The sequence below is a fragment of the Homo sapiens genome, chromosome 2 (assembly GCF_000001405.40).
Source record: "Homo sapiens chromosome 2, GRCh38.p14 Primary Assembly".
In the NCBI taxonomy this organism is placed as follows: domain Eukaryota; kingdom Metazoa; phylum Chordata; class Mammalia; order Primates; family Hominidae; genus Homo; species Homo sapiens.
Window position 1 is genome coordinate 216,433,947 of NC_000002.12, and position 18,909 is coordinate 216,452,855.

General features: G+C 42.3%; 1 protein-coding gene across 2 annotated transcripts in view; it reads left to right on the forward strand.

The window, feature by feature from the left end:
- The window catches only part of SMARCAL1 (SNF2 related chromatin remodeling annealing helicase 1), a 70,570-nt gene that overhangs the window by 21,463 nt on the left and 30,198 nt on the right, over positions 1–18,909 (forward strand). For both annotated transcript variants that reach the window (NM_014140.4, NM_001127207.2), the window contains exons 9-12: positions 1,392–1,550; positions 4,474–4,539; positions 13,072–13,212; positions 16,900–17,118. In NM_014140.4, coding sequence (NP_054859.2) covers positions 1,392–1,550; positions 4,474–4,539; positions 13,072–13,212; positions 16,900–17,118 — 585 coding nt within the window. The remainder of the gene's footprint in view (positions 1–1,391; positions 1,551–4,473; positions 4,540–13,071; positions 13,213–16,899; positions 17,119–18,909) is intronic.

An 18,909-nucleotide genomic window follows, 5' to 3' on the forward strand; every position in this document is an offset into this window, starting at 1 on the left:
TGCACCTTGTTTTTTTTCTGTCCTGGTGATCTGAGTTCTTTTTTTTTTTAATTTTAATTTTTTATTTTATTTTTTAATGAGACAGGGTCTCATTATGTTGCCCAGGCTGGTCTTGAACTCCTGAGGTCAAGTGATCCTTCTGCCTTGGCCTCCCAAGTCTTGTGAATTCTGCCAGTGCCTGTAGAAAGTAATCTTCAGAACATATTTTGTGTGCGTTAGGTTCCCACAGCACCCTCAGAAATTCTAGGAAGAGTCAGCCAGACGGTGACCAGCCTGAGGTTAGAGAAAAGGCCAGCCCTCCCTGTATTGAACAGTGTCACCCCATGTGAGGCAGGTGAGCACCCAGATGCCTGGGTGGGTTTGGCTAGAGATGCTCAGATTGCCAGAGAGAGAAGGTAGATTTGTAGAAATATCGACATAAGTAGTCTCGTCATCATCAATAAATGTTTATGATTTGCCTTCAGTGTACCAGGCTCTGCTACATCGTTCATAAAATTCCTCTTAAAAAGAGTCGCATTCTTTCCCTGCAGAAACTTACCATCTAGTTAGAGATCACAGAAATGAAACCCAGACACTGTGAAGTGACTGTTGACAAAGGCAGGGAGATAGCGAGGCATGGTGGTTCAGGCCTGTAGTCTCAGCAACTTGGGAAGCTGTGGCAGGAGGATTGCTTGAGGCCAGTACTTCAAGACCAGTCTGAACAACATACTGAGACCCATCTCTTTGAAAAAAAAAAAGAAAGAAAGAAATTAGCCAAGTATGGTGGTGTGCACCTGTAGTCCCAGCAACTTGGGAGGCTGAGGCGGGAGGATCACTTGAGCCTAGGAGTTTGAGGCTGCAGTAAGCTGTGATGGTGCCACTGTACTCCAGCCTGGGCAACAAAGTGAGACCAACACAACTCTCTATTTTTTTTTTTTTTTTTTTTCTGAGACCCGAGGTTTCTCTCTTGTTGCCCAGGCCGGAGTGCAATGGCGCGATCTCGTCTCACCACAACCTCCACTTCCCGGGTTCAAGCGATTCTCCTGCCTCAGCCTTCCGAGTAGCTGGGATTACAGGCATGCACCACCATGCCCAGCTAATTTTGTATTTTTAGTAGAGATGGGATTTCTCCGTGTTGGTCAGCCTGGTCTCAAACTCCCGATCTCAGGTGATCCGCCCTCCTCAGCCTCCCAAAGTGCTGGGATTACAGGTGTGAGCGACCGCACCCGTCTCCCCCAACTCTTAAAAAAACAAAAAAGGGAGTGTCCTGTTAGTGGCAAGTGAAGGGGCACAGGTAGGTGAGAGGAAGGTAGAGGTGATGGCTGTTGATGGGCATGAGACTGCTGCTGTCACAACCAACAGCTGCTGTGCTGGGTGGTCATTGTAGCTTTGTTCCCTCCTGTCATCCACAGGCCTTCCTTCGGTGGCTGCCATCTCTGAGCCCAGATTGCATCAACGTCGTGGTGACTGGGAAGGACCGCCTGACAGCTGGCCTGATCAACATTGTCAGCTTTGACCTTCTTAGCAAGTTGGAAAAACAGCTAAAAACCCCTTTTAAAGTTGTCATCATTGTAAGAAACTTGGCAAAGTCTTTAAGTACTTTATCTCTCTGGAAACTTTCTTTGTAAAAGCTCTGAGAACTTTCATGTCTGTAATCTCCTTGAGCCCCATTTAGTTTCTAGAAGAATAGAAATCACTGTCTTTATTTTGTGGGGAACTGGAAATTCATTCCCCTCAAATAGCCATTCTCAACTCTGGCTACGTACTAGAATCTCTTAGGGAGCTTTTTTTGAAATTGTGATTTAATTAGTCTTTGCTGGGGATTTCTAGCTCATCTCTTTCCCAGCGTGACTCATGGATGGAGGCCAGCATGTGGACCCCAGGCCACCTGGGGGCTCTGGGTACTACAACCTGGACGGCAAGGGGGTGTGCCTACATCTGGTGCCATCTTACTCAAACAATTGAGTTTTCTTCCAGCCAATGTGAAGATACACCCCCACCCCACAAAAGCACTTTTTACTCTAACTGTTTTTTGGAGGTTTTTCTGTGTTGTTTTTTTTGAGACAGAGTTTCACTCTTGTCACCCAGGCTGGAGTGCAGTGGCGTGATCTCGGCTCACTGCAACCTCTGCCTCCCGGGTTCAAGCAATTCTCTTGCCTCAGCTCCCCAAGTAGCTGGGATTACAGGCACTTGCCACCACGCCCAGCTAAGTTTTGTATTTTTAGTAGAGACGGGGTTTCACCATGTTGGCCAAGCTAGTCTCGAACTCCTGACCTCAGGTGATCCACCCACCTTGGCCTCCCAAAGTGCTGGGATTACAGGCATGAGCCACCTTGCCCGGCCTCTAATTGTTTTTTAAAGAAGGTCTGACTGGACCTGCTTCCAGATTTGACAACATATCTTTCAATTGCAGGCTTTCCTACTTTTAACTCCTCACATACTTCCTAAGGAAAGTCTAGACAGACTTGGTACCCAGCCATCTCTGTCAGTACTGAGTATATTTACATAACTCACACAAATATTGTGGGAGCTTAGAGAAAGGAAGGAGAAGATACCGTTACTGACCTCAGGGGATCTATTATTCTGTTTTGGACATGAGAACCACACTGTGTTCTTAGCATAAGCAAACTTGAGTGTTGATAGTTTTGCAAAGTGATATAGGTAATGAGTCTTTGGGGGAGTCATTTTTGGTTCGGCACAAATTCAAGTGTGGCTTTGAAAAGATGTCAGCATACATGTGAAATGAAAACATTCCAAGAAGTTTCCCAGGATGATGGGGATGGCTCTACAGTGTGTGGGAAGAATAATGCTTTCAATTCTTGAGTGTTGCCTTGTGTTAGGTACTGACATATAATCATCTATTTTCCCAGTGGCCCCTGAGTAGGCTTTATCTTTTATCCTTGTGAATTATCCATTTCACAGCTGATGAAACTGGCAGTGAGAGTGGGTACATAAATTTGCCCATAGGCACAAAGCTAGCAAGTTGGAGGTTATTGAATAAAGCTGGGTTGCGTCTGCCTTCAGAATTCATGTTCTTCTCTTTCTGGCCCATCACTTAACCTGCTGTATGATTTTTGGCAAGCCACTTACCACCATTGTTGGTTTGTTCTTCAGTTAAGTAAGAGCTCTGTCCTCTTTCTTTCAGAGAAATGTTGTAAGAAAGAATAGAGTGATGGCTCTGAAGTGTCACACTTTTCAGAAGAGGCTTCAGTTTAAACCATTCTTTGAGATTTGTTCCAGTATTGGCACATTTTTACCCATTGGTTGAAAGGGCCCATTCTCTTCCATATCCTCTGTACTTTCTGTGTTTTTTCTCCATAAATACATTTTACTTGACTGTAATGAGGTCTCATGATCAGAAAGGCATATGACCGTAACACTCCAGCTTTCTGGACAGGATACTTTCTTGATATTTTGAGGGTTATTTCACACTCCCCTCTGCTGTGCTTTTGTGGCCCTTTTTGCTCATGATAGCTGAAATGGAATAGGGGATTTCTTATAGATCATCTTTAAGGACAGCGTTGGGATCTCACTGGTATCCCAGCTATAGGAAGGCTGATACCATTGAGTGCTTACTGAGTAACAGGGCTGTGCTAAGGACTTCACATGTGTTAGCTCATTTCAGACTCACAGCAACCTAATACATAAGGAATTATGATACCCATTTTACAGACAGCAAAACTGGCATTACAGAGAGGTGGTTGCTCAGAGTCACACAGCAAGGAATTTGACTCTGTACCAAACTAGAAAATTTCCACTTAAATACTCATGTATTAGTTACTCATTTGGCTTTAGAAAATATGATCAACTCTATATTTGCTTATGCAACAAAAAGAAAAAAAGAATAAAGAAAAACAAACTATATATATATATATGTATGTATTTGCTTATGCACAGATACAGAGTGGTTAATCAGACTTCATGTTCTAAACATAGCAGTTCCTTGAGAATAGGAATCATATCGTCTTCTTTCCGTCTCTCAGTTTCCCCAGCACTTTGTTTACACTCGCCTCAGTGACAGTACTGATAATACAGCCTGATCGGTTGTCAGTGTGTCTGGCATCCTTCCTGCACCCTGAGCCCCTGAGGGCAGGGGCTGGACACCCCAGAGCTTTGCACCAGTGCAGGGCCCATTATGGGGCACTTGGTCTAGTGCTCCACAGGTGGGAGGTGCCTCTTACAAAGCAGCAAACCACCTTCTAGTGGTTTCTTTGAGCAGCCTCTGAGGTGGGCGGAGCAGGGATTCATGAATCCCACTTTATAGATGGAAAATTGTCCCCAGAGAGCTGAAGCAACTTGCTCAGAATGCAGTAGAGAAGCTGCCACCAGACCCCTGGGTCCTGACCTAGGCCCAGTGAGCCATCTCCTTGAATGAGAAAGTGCTAAGGGAGCATCCACCTTGCACTTGCCATGCCAGGGTCAAGCCTAAAGTGACCCATATTTCTGTCCACTCAGGATTGGATCTTGTACACTTATGTGGCTACTTCTTTTCAGGATGAATCTCACTTCCTCAAAAACAGTAGGACTGCCCGCTGTCGAGCAGCTATGCCGGTCCTAAAGGTGAGTACTTCTGAGAACTGAGCCCACTGAGCATTGGCATCCCATAATATTTTGCTCAGGCTTGCATGTCGTCCTAGTCCAGCAGGGGTTGCAAGTATAGACCTGTGGGCCATGGTCATGACTTGGCATTGACTTAGGGCATCTGTCTCTCTCCTTAGGGCTGTGGTACCAATTTCATCTTTCTTCCTAACATCCTGCTAAGGAACTAGTAGGCAGTACTAGTAGTCAGTAGTGCTGCCTTTGTCTCTCGAAGGTCAAGACTGTTGAGGCTGGGTGGGCATTGGACTCCAGAATCCTCCTCTGGCTTCCTACTTAGATAAGAGAGAGCCTCTAGCAGCTTGTCCACTAATTAGCTTAGAAAAAACTGCCTGTCTTCTAAGTCACTTGTAGTGGCAAAGCTGCCTAGATGCTGGAAATCAGGGAAGACGAGTTGTATTAATGAAAGTAATGGCAAAAAAACGCAATTACTTTTGCATCAACCTAATACAAACAGAACTGAGCAAGGGCTGGCGGGGTCAGCGAGATACACTGGCAAAGCTAAGATGGGCCTTAAAAGCTGATACTGTTTTCTGTGGCTACCCTGAGCCTCTTTGGTTGACAGAAGGGGCAGCCATCCCCCTTCCTCCCTGTGGTGGCCTAAACTCATTTCTGAGTGCTTTGGCGGGTGTGAGTTCTGGCTTCACAGCAAGCAGGCGTGGGTATGTGATGCAGATTCTAGTCTTTAAGCATGTTCTGATGTGCAATATAGGCTCTGTATTTCATCTGTCTCTCTCTTCTGTGTTTGGTTTCTTAGTCCCCCATCCCAACAGAGGGTAGTCCTCCAAATTTCCTTCCATTATGGGGGGGGGGGATGATTTTTTTCCTATTATTGTAAGAGGGAAGGAGAAGTACAATTAGAAAAGTAGCCTTTTCTCTTGTAACAAGTTAGAAGTTTCTCACAGATTACTTTGGAGGTATCCACTTTGGTTTGTGTAGACTGAGCAAACCAAAGTGTGTGTTTTTCTTGTGCTCAAAGCAACCTTTGTGTTGTACCAGCATTTTAAAACTATGGCTTTTATTGATTAAAAGAAGCTTTAACTTTTACCTAAACTAGGGAAAACAAATACGCTGAATGTTAATGAAGCTTAGCATTTGAACATTAATCTTAACATTTCCTCACAAAACACACGTAAGTGTCCACTCATTTCAAGTTTTCATGTGTTTAGGAATAACGGAATATGATACATCTTCCAAGGCAGGGTCATGTCATGTGCCAAACCAAAGAATAAAAGTCTTTTACTGCAAAAGCTTGGTTTTGCTGGGGTGGTGGCTCACGCCTGTAATCCCAGCACTTTGGGAGGCCGAGGCATGTGGGTCACTTGAGACCAGGAGTTTGAGACCAGTCTGAGCAACATGACGAAATCCCGTCTGTACTAAAAATACAAAAATGAGCCAGGCATGGTGGTGCACACCAAGCTGAGGCAGGAGAATCGCTTGAACCTGGGAGGCAGAGATTGCAGTGAGCCGAGATTGTGCCACTGCACTCCAGCCTGGGTGACAGAGTGAGACTCTGTCTCAAAAAAAGAAAAAAAAAAAAAAAGCTTGATTCTCTGCCAGTATTACCTATAAATATTTATATGTCAATAGCCATTGATGGACACATTTAAATAAAATGTTTTTCCTAGGTTGATGACCCTTCTTTTGGGAGGCCTTAATATGCTTTCCATAGGAAAACAATAGGGTTAGGTATTTTGGTTTCAGTATTTCAGCCATAACTAAATTAAATCTTTACTCCTGATTGTTTAGACAAAAGAAAATGCACAATAGATAGATTCTATCATTAAAGATACAATGTGAAAGCTTCTAGCAACCACTTGTTAATGTAGTCATTGCCTGGCTGGGCAAGCTGAGCCAGATAGTGGTTTCTGAAATGTGTGCCTCTCAGCCAGACCTTTGGAAGCAGCATATACCTCTTTAATATCTTGAGTGTGTTTCAAAGTGACATGTTTAAAAGAAATCTCTAAACTGCTAACTAATATGTACTACTCTGCATTTGCTGTAGAACTTGGATGAATTAATATTTTAAAATAAGCCTCATGAACATGGCCTGTGTTTATGAAGGTGTCTTGGGGCCACGCTCTTCCGCAACGTTGACTTCATATAATGCTGGACTGTGGCAGGATTGGGCTGAAGGAGTGGGATGGAGCATTCTGTGCTATTCTGTTAACCGAACCTTTCATCTCTGTCTTATTGTATTTTCGTCTAGATTGGAGTCTCTCAACCATGGTACTGTTGACATTTTGGGCTGGATGACTCTGTTGTTGGGGGGCTGTTGTGTGCATTTTAGGATGTTTAGCAGCATCCGTGGCCTCTACCCACTAGATGCCAGCAGTTCCTCCCCAGTCATGACAACCAAAATTGTCTCCAGATGCCACCGAATGTCCTCTGAGGGAGGACAAATCACTCTCTACTCACCTTGCCCTTCTCCAACCCCATGGAGAACCACCAATCTAAATAAGGAAATGAATCTAAATGTTTTTGGAATAATAAGATAGTTGGGAAAAAGTAAAGTATGTCTTTGAAAAGCCATATAAGGACCTAATTTAATACCACTTGATTGTTCCTCTAATATGAACATCTCTTAGAACTATATTCTGATAATTAATATTACAAGCATATTTTCAGCAAATAGGCATAATGAGGTATTTAGATTAAATCATACAGTTCGTTGGATAGCAGGGCCAGATCGTGTCCAGAAAAATGTGGATTTTGTAAATAGCAATAGCAGTCAGCAGAGAGAAGGTGTGTTAGATTGTAAGAAATTGGTGTCACTGTCCCCTGGGAAACGTGACATTTTTCTTCCCCCACAGCACTATTGGCTGGGGCTACTAATCCTAAATGAGGTAAATCTATTTTTATATATAAATATATGAAAGTAGACCAGATAGAAGCTAAAAAGAACAAAGTTAAAATTACCTTTAATCCCTCCAACAGAAAAAGCCACTGTTAACAGCTTATTTTTCCAGCATGTCAATTATTGAGCAAGATCATCATTTTTCAATAACTATGGAGCATTTACATAGTGGAGACACATCCCATAATTTAATCCTCAGTATCAGACATGCGGTTGTTTTCCATTTTTGCTATTATAAATAATTCTGCAAGTGAACATCATCTATATGTACCTTGCATATTTATCCTATTAGGACAAATTCCTACAATCAGAATTGCCAGGTCAGTTTTCATTTGACCTTTTTAGGGGAGGCCTCTGAAGTCCAGTCTGGCCAGGCATAACAATCTTCACTCCCATTCAGTCTTCAATCAGAGGCTTTTTTTTCCCACATGACTCCGCCCTCAGGATTACTGGCACTCTTTTAAACAGTGAGGTGTGTGTTTGGGGTTTTTTGGTTTAGTTTAGTTGTCTTTTGTCTACACTGGCTTTTATTGTTAAACTAGTGTAATAACAAAATTAAAAATTTTTCAAAGGGAAAGGCCCCTAGAGTCCTACCATTCTTTCCTAAGAAGCAGCTGTTTCTCTTTTTCTGTAAGTAGAGAGTACTTTTTATATCTCTGTTGATTGGCTGGATGAGATAGTGGCTAAAAGGTATAAGGTTTTTTTCTTTTTCCTTTGTTATTAAAGTAGTTTAAATAGATGATAAATTCAAATGGGGCCGGGCGCAGTGGCTCATGCCTGTAATCCTAACACTTTGGGAGGCCTGAAGCAGGAGGATCACCCGAGGTCAGGAGTTTGAGACCAGCCTGGCCAAAATGGCGAAACCCCATCTCTACTAAAAATACAAAAATTAGCCAGGCATGGTGGCACACACCTGTAATCCCAGCTACTTGGGAGGCTGAGGTGGGAGAATCACTTGAACCTGAGAGGCGGAGGTTGCCCTGAGCGGAGATCGCACCACTGCACTCCAGCCTGAGCAACACAGCTAGACTCTGTCTCAAAAAAAAAAAAAAAAAAAAATTCAAACAATACAAAAGGATGGACAGTGAAAAATAAGTCTTTCAACCCCTCTAGGTTCCCTAGTCCCCAGTCTCTTTCCTCAAAGGCAGCTATAGTTACCAGTTTTCAGGTTTACTTCCATAAAATAACCTGCACCTATGGAAGTACGAGTGTGTGTGTTTCCTTTCTGCCTCCTTAGAGTGTTTTACAACCATTGTTTTACACTTGCCTTTATCCCCTTAATAATGTATCTTGAAAATCATTCCATGTTGTTCCAAATGACTTCTACCGCATTCTTGCAAATAGCATTCTATTGGATAAATTTATCATAATATGTATTATCTGTTCTCTTTTGATGGATTTGTAACCAAATTGCAGCTATTACATGCAACACTGCAATGACCATTTTTTCATATGTTAGAGAAGTGGGGAGTAGAAAATGCAATCCCTGTGTGTCTGAGATGGCTTTTTGCCTATCAGGCCAGAGGGGAGAGCAGTGTCAGCTGGCAGATTCTGTTTTCTTCCCTAGTGTGATGAGGCTATAGAAGTCCCCTGAGGTCCGGCCATTCTCATTTATTTCCTCACTTTCATTACATAATCAGACTTAAAAAGGAAATTATTAGAGTTTGAAACCTATAGTAAAATGGATTGTCTTTTCCAGAGTAAAAAAATCTACCTTAGGCCGGGCGCAGTGGCTCATGTCTGTAATCCTACCACTTTGGGAAGCTGAGGTGGGCAGATCACTTGAGGTCAAGAGTTGCAGACTGGCTGGCCAACATGGTGAAACCCACCTCTACAAAATTAACTGGGATTGGTGGTCTGCGCCTATAATCCCAGCTATATGGGAGACTGAGGGAGGAGGGTCACTTAAACCTGGGAGGTGGAGGTTGCAGTGAGCCGAGATCATGTCACTGCACTCCAACCTGGGTGACAGAGTGACACTCTGTCTCAAAAAAAAAAAAAAAAAAAAGCTTGGAATGGCATAGCTTTAATCAGCTATAATTATACCATTTGATATATTCTCATTATAATATTTTGGTATTTTTGGTCCAATATACATGCAGTCACTGTCTTCATTCTGTCTGTTCTTACCCAAGAACTGCCTTATATGTGGCATGATAATTTCATTTATGTTACAGCAGCAATGCTCACTTAGCTTGAAGGCATTATGGTTATCATAGCAAATCAGTTTAGTTAAGGTTAGTACTATTCAGATTTGTGACTGGAACTTTGTTTTTTTTGGAACATAGGCTAGAACCTAGAGGGAACCATTTATGTGAAATAAGCTGACCTAACCAGAGATTCAGAGGCCATGTATAAAGTATCACTGAGTGGTAGGTGGCCTTCTGCCAATACTTAGGGCAGCCTCTGGTCAGCAGTGGCCATAATTATGCTGCTTTCTTGGTTTGTCCTGGTTTGTTTTGGGGGGCACCACTCAGGAGCAGAGTAAAGAATACACCCGTGGTCTCCCTCCCCGACTCCAAGCACTGGCTTTCTTCTGAATGTCAAGCTTTTCTTTTTGCCCTTAGGCTTTCGATTTAACTACAGGTGTCTCTTTTGTAGCTCCTTGTATAGTGACTGTGATCCCACATTTATTCTTGATCTGTGTACTTTTGGTCACTTGTCCTCAAGCTATGCTTGCCACTATCCTTATTTCTGAAGATTGTATCATGACCTCTGAACTAATTAAAACACAGCTTCAATGTCCCTGCCACATCAGGGTTACTGAGTATGGAGACTTTCCAGCGGTGTGGACTTGACCTTCTCTTTGATATTACCTGCCTTCTTCATGTCTTATTTCTAAATTGAATATATGGTATTGTATAAATTTATTTAGAGTACCATTAGGAATAATTCTGGGTATAAGACTGGACTGAGCTTTGGAGAACATGATTTTTTTCCTAGTCTAGGGTTTTGGCAAAATATGTTACAGCCCATCAGAATAATTCAGTAAAGCAAGTTACTGGCTCAATTGGAAAAAAAAAAGAGATCACATAAAGTGATGAAGAATTTCTGGACTGCTTCTTATATAAACTTAAGACTTCAGCTCTTTTTTCTACAGTAGAACATTCTCTTGGCTCTTAATTTTATTTTTTATTTAATTTTATTTTTTTGAGACAGAGTTTCACTCTTGTCACCCAGGCTGGAGTGCAATGGTATGATCATGATCTCAGCTCACTGCAACCTCTGCCTCCCCTGTTCAAGTGATTCCCTGCGTCAGCCTCCTGAGTAGTGGGATTACAGGTGTGCAGCACTGCACCTGGCTAATTTTGTATTTTTAGTAGAGGCAGGGTTTCACCATGTTGGCCAGGTTGGTCTCGAACTCCTGACCTCAGGTGATCCGCCTGCCTCAGCCTCCCAAAATGCTGAGATTGCAGGCGTGAGCCATCATGCCCGGTCAACTCTTAATTTTAAAACTATGTATAGATTATCCACTTTCAATTACGACATTGAATTCTCTGTGGCGAATTATGTATACACGAACTCAGCCTATTCTGCAGGGTTTTCCCACCCCCAACCCACGAAGAAACTAAGCCTATCTTTGAGGGTCATCTGATCCCAACAGTGTCTGCACATGTGAATCATGTTATCTTTCTAACACCACACAGAAAGTATTTTTTTACATTGTTCTATCTTCGATTTCTTGGGTGTTGCTTTTCTCCCTTAGGTGGGGGAGTTCACTGTAAACTGTTCAATTTGGTGTTGATTTATGTAGTTTTATAGATTTCTGTTTTCCTAGATTTGGAAGTTTTCAGAAGTGGAGGGTGACATATGACACCTTTGCAGCTGGGCATGTGTTAAAAGCCCTTGTGGGTGATCGTGATGACATACACACATGTTGGGGCTGAGCTGGGAGCAGGCCAAATCACCCCATTACAGACGAGATGCCATTCTGGTTTCTTTTTCAAAGCTGGACTTTTTCTTTTTTTGTAATGCTGCCTCTGCCTTTTTGATGCCCACAAACACCCATTGGCAACGCTCCCATCACTCTCTAGTCTAGGGAGTGTATGGGAGAAGCGATTTAATACTAACTACATCCTATAAGTATCTGACAGAAGACCCTGGAGTTAATTTCCATCATCTGATTCATGAACTGTTTTTGCCCTGGCTCCATCCCCAGGCCAGCACAGTGACATGAAGAATAGGTTTGGGGTGATGGGGAGATTTTCTCTTTTTGATAAAACTTTTCATTTTCCCCTTTTTCATTGAAATGATCTTAAAGCCAAGGCAAGCGATGCTACCAACGTCAGCTCATTGTTATTTTAATGAGTCTGCATTAAACCGTGCAGGAAGTTAGAAGGCCTAGGTAATTGAACTGTGGAAAATTATAGCTGGAGACATTCATAGCTCTCCCATCATAATGGAATTAGATATTGGCGATTGCTGTGAGGGCACAAATGCGTTTAGATAATTGTGTATATTGTATATTTATAAAGAATGATTTTTCTTTTCACTGTTGCACCTTTATTTATTTATTTTTATGAGGCAGTGTATCCATCTGTAAACCTAATTTATTCTCCTAGGTGATTTATTACATGCAATTGCCTTGTATTACTGTCATTAACTCAAGGTTACAGTGGTTAACAAGCTGTTTCTAGACAACTGAGCTCCATGGTAGGGTCCGTTCCCAGAGCTGAAGTGAATTTTACGTCCAGTAATTTGTAGTGATTCTGTGTTCTAATACAGTAGGAAGAGTCTCTTTTTTTTTTTCTCACCCTCTTTCCCATCTTAATAATAGGAGGTGGGATCTTTGGGTCTGATGCCCATGGGTCAGGTTGGTGTCTGGGTAGTGAGGAACTTGGAATCTGTCATTGCTGTTGACCAACTATTTTTTCCCATCTTGCCCATGCTAAGCAGGCTGCTGCACATCTGGGCTGAGTTTAGGGAAAATGGAACCAGGTATCACCTATTAAGGTTCTTATTGTTAATAACTGCAAAATGAGCCTGAGTCAGGATCTGTAGGCTTGAAGCATTGTGAAGCTGAGTTAGTAAAGGCCTTATTTTCCTTTAAAGAAAGTCACATGGAGACATATACATTGGCAACCCCTGACACTTCCTCTTGGGAATGGGAGAGGGCTGATTGTAATTGTCATTATCTGAGTTCAACTTGCATGTCACAGATCCACTCTGGAGGAAGTTCAGACCTGCCACTGTCTTCTCCCACTTCCTGTCCAATGCTGGATTCTTTGAGTTTACTCTGTGTTCTCCAGGATACTAATTAGCTTCCTTGTGAATTTTTTGCAGCATACGGTGAACATTTATTGGTTACTTGGCGTCAGGCATATGCTACAGAAAATAAAGGTGAATACAGCCCAGTCCTTGATCTCAAGAGGCTTGCAGTCTAACAAGGGAGACAGAAAAGTTATAATTCAATGTAATATGTTAAGTACTAGGATAGAGCTCAGCAGAGGGCAGGCAGGGAGGATTTAAAGAAAAGGAGATGCCATCTAACTGCTTGCATTGGCAATGCCATTAGGTTCTCGCGACACGCACGCGGTCTTTTTCTGGGGGCATCCAGCTCCTCCCTCACTGGGGCATTTTGAACATTTCCTGTGTGCTCCTCCCTGTGTTCAGAGCACCTTTGGCTGTTTGTCTTTTAGGTTGCCAAGAGGGTGATCCTGTTGTCGGGCACACCAGCCATGTCCCGGCCCGCAGAGCTCTACACGCAGATCATCGCAGTCAAGCCAACTTTCTTCCCCCAGTTTCATGCCTTTGGACTTCGCTACTGTGATGCCAAACGGGTATGTATTATCTCTTCCCTCCCAGCCCACCCATTTCTCACCCTGATTTTGACACTTATCTTTCTCTTCCTTCTCTCTGGCCATGATATGGTCAGAAGAGCACTGGCCAGGGGAATGGATTTTAGTCTTTCTGTTTCTTACTATGGCCTTGGAATGACCTCAGGGGTAAGATGAAAATGGTCATCTTACCCTTTAAATCTAGTTTTAATGGTTATGGTTATCCGAAGTCATCGTTTTCCAGTAAGGGGACTAGTGGCTGATGTGTAGGTATGTGGAGCTCTGAGAGCCGGCTTCCCTCTTGCCCAGGGTCACAGCTCTGCATGAGGCACAGTGCTGGAGCTATAAAAGGAAAGTCCTTGTCAAGTGCTGGCCCTAGAGAAGATGCTGGCACTGAGGTGAGCTAGGAGTGAGGCTGAGGCCCCAGGCAGAGGGAAGAAGTAGGTGAGGGGGTAAGGGCTTCCTCCTGGCATGGGAGGAATATGAAGTAAAGGTGGGAAATTCCTCCCTGTGCAAAAAAAAAAGAAAAAAAAAGATAAAGGTAGATTGAGGAGCCTGATCCCAAACTGCCTTGGGTGGGCTCTGTGAGTGCAGTGCCAATGGCGCAGGCACCTCAGGACCTACAGTCGGCACTCCAGAAATGCTCTCCCAAAATGGCAGGGAAGCCCTGTAAACACCAATGCATTGCCATGGAACCCTTGTTTTTAAAACCACATTAATTCAGACCTTAGGGATTCTTGTTTTGTGATCAAGTCACAAAGGTACTGGCACTTTGGAGAAATAGCTGCAACTTACCCTACAAGCCATCTATGAGGGAAAAGCCTTGCTGTGCAAGTACATGATATAAATAAGAGTGTCTGCCTTATTTTTTAAATTTTTAAAAGAAGAAAAAAAGTTTTCAAGTACTTTAAAAATATCCACTTACATTCAAACGAAGTACTTATAATGGAAATTGTAGTCCTTAGCATAGTTAATTGCAAACCATTTTTAGCTGGTTATTGAGGCAGGAAATTTCCCAATTATTAAATGTATTTAAAAGCCGTACACTTCTTTAATCATATATTTAGTTCATTTTCCCTGTAGATCAATCCAGATTAGACTGATGCTATATAGTTTTCATGGTCCCTCAAAACTCTTCATGTATGATTTGGATTTCTGTCCTATTCGCAAACAGTCCACTTTCTAAAAAGGATCTTCTCTTTCTTGACTATATGGGCCCATGGCATAATAATGTTCAGCTAGTGATGAAAGGGGCTAAAGATAAAATTGATTGCCTTTCTTCCCCAAACTGTCCCTTCCTATGTTCCCCATCTTAGGCCAGCATCTCAGTAGTTTCTCCTGCCAGAAACTAAGGCATTATCTTTGAATTCTCCTTTTCCTGCCTTCTTGATACACCTCCCCAATACAACAAAGAATGCCTTCCTCATCTTCACATCTTTCTTTCCACCTAACCCAGTGCCTGATATGTGGTAATTTTTCAATTAAAGCTTGTTGGATTGTGACTATCCCAAGGTCAAGTTTAAAATTTTTGCCGCATGCAGCGGTACACACATGTAGTCCCAGCTACTCTGCAGGCTGAGGCACGAGAATCGCTTCAACCCAGGAGGCAGAGGTTGTAGTGAGCCAAGGTCATGCCACTGCACTCCAGCCTGGGCGACAGAGTAAGACTCTGTCTCAAAAAAAAAAAAGAAAAAAGTAACAAATTACTTGGTATTTTGGTGTTACTAAGTTTTAACCTACAAGGTTAAGAGCTAACAATATTAGAACATAGGAGCATGCTATCTGTCTTAGTCTGTTTTCTGTTGCTGTAACTAAATACCACAGACTAAGTAACTTACAAAGAATAGAGGTTTATTTAGCTCATGGTTCTGGAGACTGGGAAGTTCAAGAGCATGGCACTGGCATCTAGTGAGGGCCTTCTTGCTCTTCATAACATGGCAGAAGGCATCATATGGAGAAGAGGGCAAGAGCATATGTGTCAGCTCAGGTCTCTGGTCCTTTTCTTATAAAGCTACCAGTCCCAACATGGGGGACCCACCATGATGACCTTATCTACCTCCCAAAGGCCCCACCTTCAATCAACATAATGAATTTGGGGATTACTTTTCTAATGTGTGAAATTTGGGGGACACATTTAAGCCATAGCAATATCCAAATTAATTATGATATCCACTTGTTCTCAGCATGGTTTTTATTTAATACAATCCATAAGCCAGGGCTGCCTTTTTTTTTTCTTTTTCTTTTTCTTTTTCTTTTTGCCAGCTTCATGCATTAAGAAACCACTGAAAAGAGAACCTCATGCTGAGCTCATTTGCAAACCACTAACTATCTGAAGGCATTTGCTGAGAACTTCCAGTTGATTTCAGAGTATTTTTTAAAAAGAAGAAACAGCTTTACAACATTTTATTCCTCCACCTTTGACCATCTCTTCCTTCTCTCAATTTAGCAAAGGTTTATGAGACACCTATTCTGTCTCCACTATTATGCTAGGCTCTCTAGCCCTCTATAATGGGAAAACCTAGCCCCTACCCTCAGGTAGCTAGCTCATCAGCCAGGAGGGGAGATGAGCTCCTTAAAAGACAAAGTAGCAGGCACACTGGCTCCCTGATTTTCTACTAGACTGTAGAAATCAGTTCCATTTCCAGTAAGATTGTTGGTGAGGGATAGGGTTTTTAATGGTAATGGCTTCTTTTTTTTTTTGAGACAGAGTCTTGCTCTGTTGCCCAGGTTGGAGTGCAGTGACACCATCTCGGCTCACTGCAACCTCTGCCTCCCAGGTTCAAGCAATTGTCCTGCCTCAGCCTCCCTAGTAGCTGGGATTACAGGTGCATGCTACCACGCCGGCTAATTTTTGTATGTTTAGTAGAGATAGGGTTTTGTCATGCTGGCAAAACTCCTGACCTCAACTGGTCTCTAACTCCTGACCTCAAGTGATCCTCCTGCCTCCGCCTCCCAAAGTGCTGGGATTACAGGCGTGAGCCACTGCGTCTGGCCAGTAATGGCTTCTCTAGCTGTGTGATGGGGAATGAACATTTGAGATCACTGCCTCCCGTGAGCTCCTCAACGAGGGAGCCATGTTTATGAAGGACTGCCTAGGCCCTTAGCCAGACTGCCAGAAGCCTATGTGGTGGGCTCCTCCTGCCAACCCCAGCTGCCATCTACAACAACACTGCAGTTACTTTTATTATATTGTACTTGTTTGTGCTGGTGTAATCCATACTGCAGAACAACAGTTTTTAAAATCCCTGTAAGTCTCATCAAATAAAGATGTTACTGACATTATTTTATTACATTGTGCAACAGACTCTGTAGGATAAGCCATAGGGAAGATTTAGTATTTAGTGTACAGGAATAGTCTGACAAGCCAAGTTTTTTGTTTGTTTTTTAATAAAATGGACACCCAATTGCTTGACTTCTGGCATTTGCTGCTGGAAAAGAAAGCTCACTGCCAAATTGTAGAATGCCATGATAGGTGTTTTTTATTCATCTCATTCCTGACTTTTTTCTCTCTTTTCCTTTCCATTTCTCATTTGTTTTATTGGGGGTTTATTTGTCCCTGTAAGTCACTTGAAGTTTTCTGAGCTAAGCCAGGGGTGGTTGTGAGAAGAGGGACCTCCCGGGATCCCAAGTCCCTGTTGGACTGGGCCTGAAAGGAGCCTCATGGGGCTGTCGCTGTCTTGTTCTCTGCAGATGCCTTGGGGGTGGGACTACTCAGGTTCCTCCAACCTGGGAGAGCTGAAGCTCCTGCTGGAGGAAGCAGTCATGCTGCGGCGCCTCAAGTCCGACGTCCTTTCCCAGCTGCCTGCCAAGCAGCGCAAGATAGTGGTGATTGCCCCAGGACGGATCAATGCCAGGACCAGAGCTGCCCTGGATGCTGCAGCCAAGGAAATGACCACCAAGGACAAAACTGTGAGTCCAGGGCTGGAGACAGATTTGGAAGCAGACATGTCTAGGTGTTCCTTTCCATGAGAGGCCCTTGAAAATGACCTGGCATTCTCTCAGCTTTCCTTTCTGTAACCTTTTCCCTCTTCCCTAGGCAAGAACAGCAAGTCCATTTCATTCCTCAGCCTACCTAGTCAGTTTTGAAAAATCTCATATTAAGTTGTGGTTTTATACTTGTATAGATCGCTGTTGATGGATGGCCATAAAGATAAGCACAGGCAACAGCAGGGTGGTGATCAATATTCCGAATCCCTCAAAGAATGTGGAAATTATGTCTACTATATTTTGAGAATGCATCAGTCTAGTAACAGTTGTTAGAAAATTAGTCCTAACATGTTTGATACATATGTTAATCCTTTAACCATACTGTGTCATTTGTGTTAGTCAAAATAACAAGCCGACATTCTTATAACAAAATAGAGTTTTCAAATCCTCCTAACCTTTTAAATCCCTATTACAGGCATTTATGGTTGGCAGGAAGTTGGCATCCCCCTTTTTACAGAGAGGGAAACTGAGGCTCACAGAGATTGCAGTTTGCCCAGGGTCTCTTAGCTGCTCCACCACAGAGCTGAGGCTAGAACCAAGCCTCTTGCCCCTATATTTTAGGACTGTTTTCACTATGATGGTTTTATCTTTTCAAACACTTTTATTTCTGTCTTTAGTGTCATACTGTGCTAAGTGCTATAATCTACACCAGCTCTGTTTCTGTCCTCTTAGATAAAACCTTGTAATTCCCATTACTAAGAAAATAACAGTCATTGATATTTTTCAACATCATGAAGCATTATCTGGGCTTGATATTACCCTGTATAAAGATATTTAGATGTAGATCTCAGCCTTCTGGGAGGTTACAAAATAAATAAGAATGACAAGAGACAGAATGCATGTTTTTCATGTTATTTTACCATGTGATGAGCAAGATTCATTGATAACTTTTAAGAAATGACAGGATAGAGGATGCACTGGCAAATTTTCAAGCTGTATTGAATTTATGCTGTATTACATATAATAATCTGGATGGTCTGGAGTAAGTGAGCAGGCATCATCTCTTTATTGTGGAGTTTTCAAACTTAAACAACATCGATGTAGACATATAGACCAGTGTTCTCAGATTATATTTCAGTGGAATCATGAGTAAAACCAGGAAGCTTTGTCACTAAAATCAATCTTGGTGGTCTTTTGTTTATTTTTAGAGATAAAAATGCAATGAGTAGATTATTTTTTCTCAATTTGAAGTTTTTTCTTATAACTTTTTCTTAATAACTTTCGTCTACTGGTGAACTCTACCAGACAAGAAAACCAGTGAACTGGTATAGCAAATATAATATTAATGGAAAAATTCAGACATGCAATATTTTTAGATGCAAAGAGCTGAATATTTATAAAATGTTATTTTTTTTGCCAGCAAAGTTGTTCCTTGTGTGTGTGAGATGGAAGTAAGTCTGTTAGTGTTTCGTGAGATTCCCCAGAGAACACCCTCACCAATACCTGGTTCACCTCCTGAACCAGTTTGAGAACAGCCAAGGTAGACACCTGAAAAAGCAATTAGTGGGCATTTGAATTAAGGAGGAAAAGCACATTAACTTGTTGAAACACAACTGTGAATTGTGTAGTATGGCCAAAAAGAAAAAAAGAAAAGCAGTAGAAATTTTGTGCTTAGTGCAACAAGATCTGAAAGCATTTTGTAAACTTCTGCCAACTTGTATAGTTCTTCAAGTAAAGGGAGTGGCTCTTTTCAAAGATGATTTCAGATGTCAC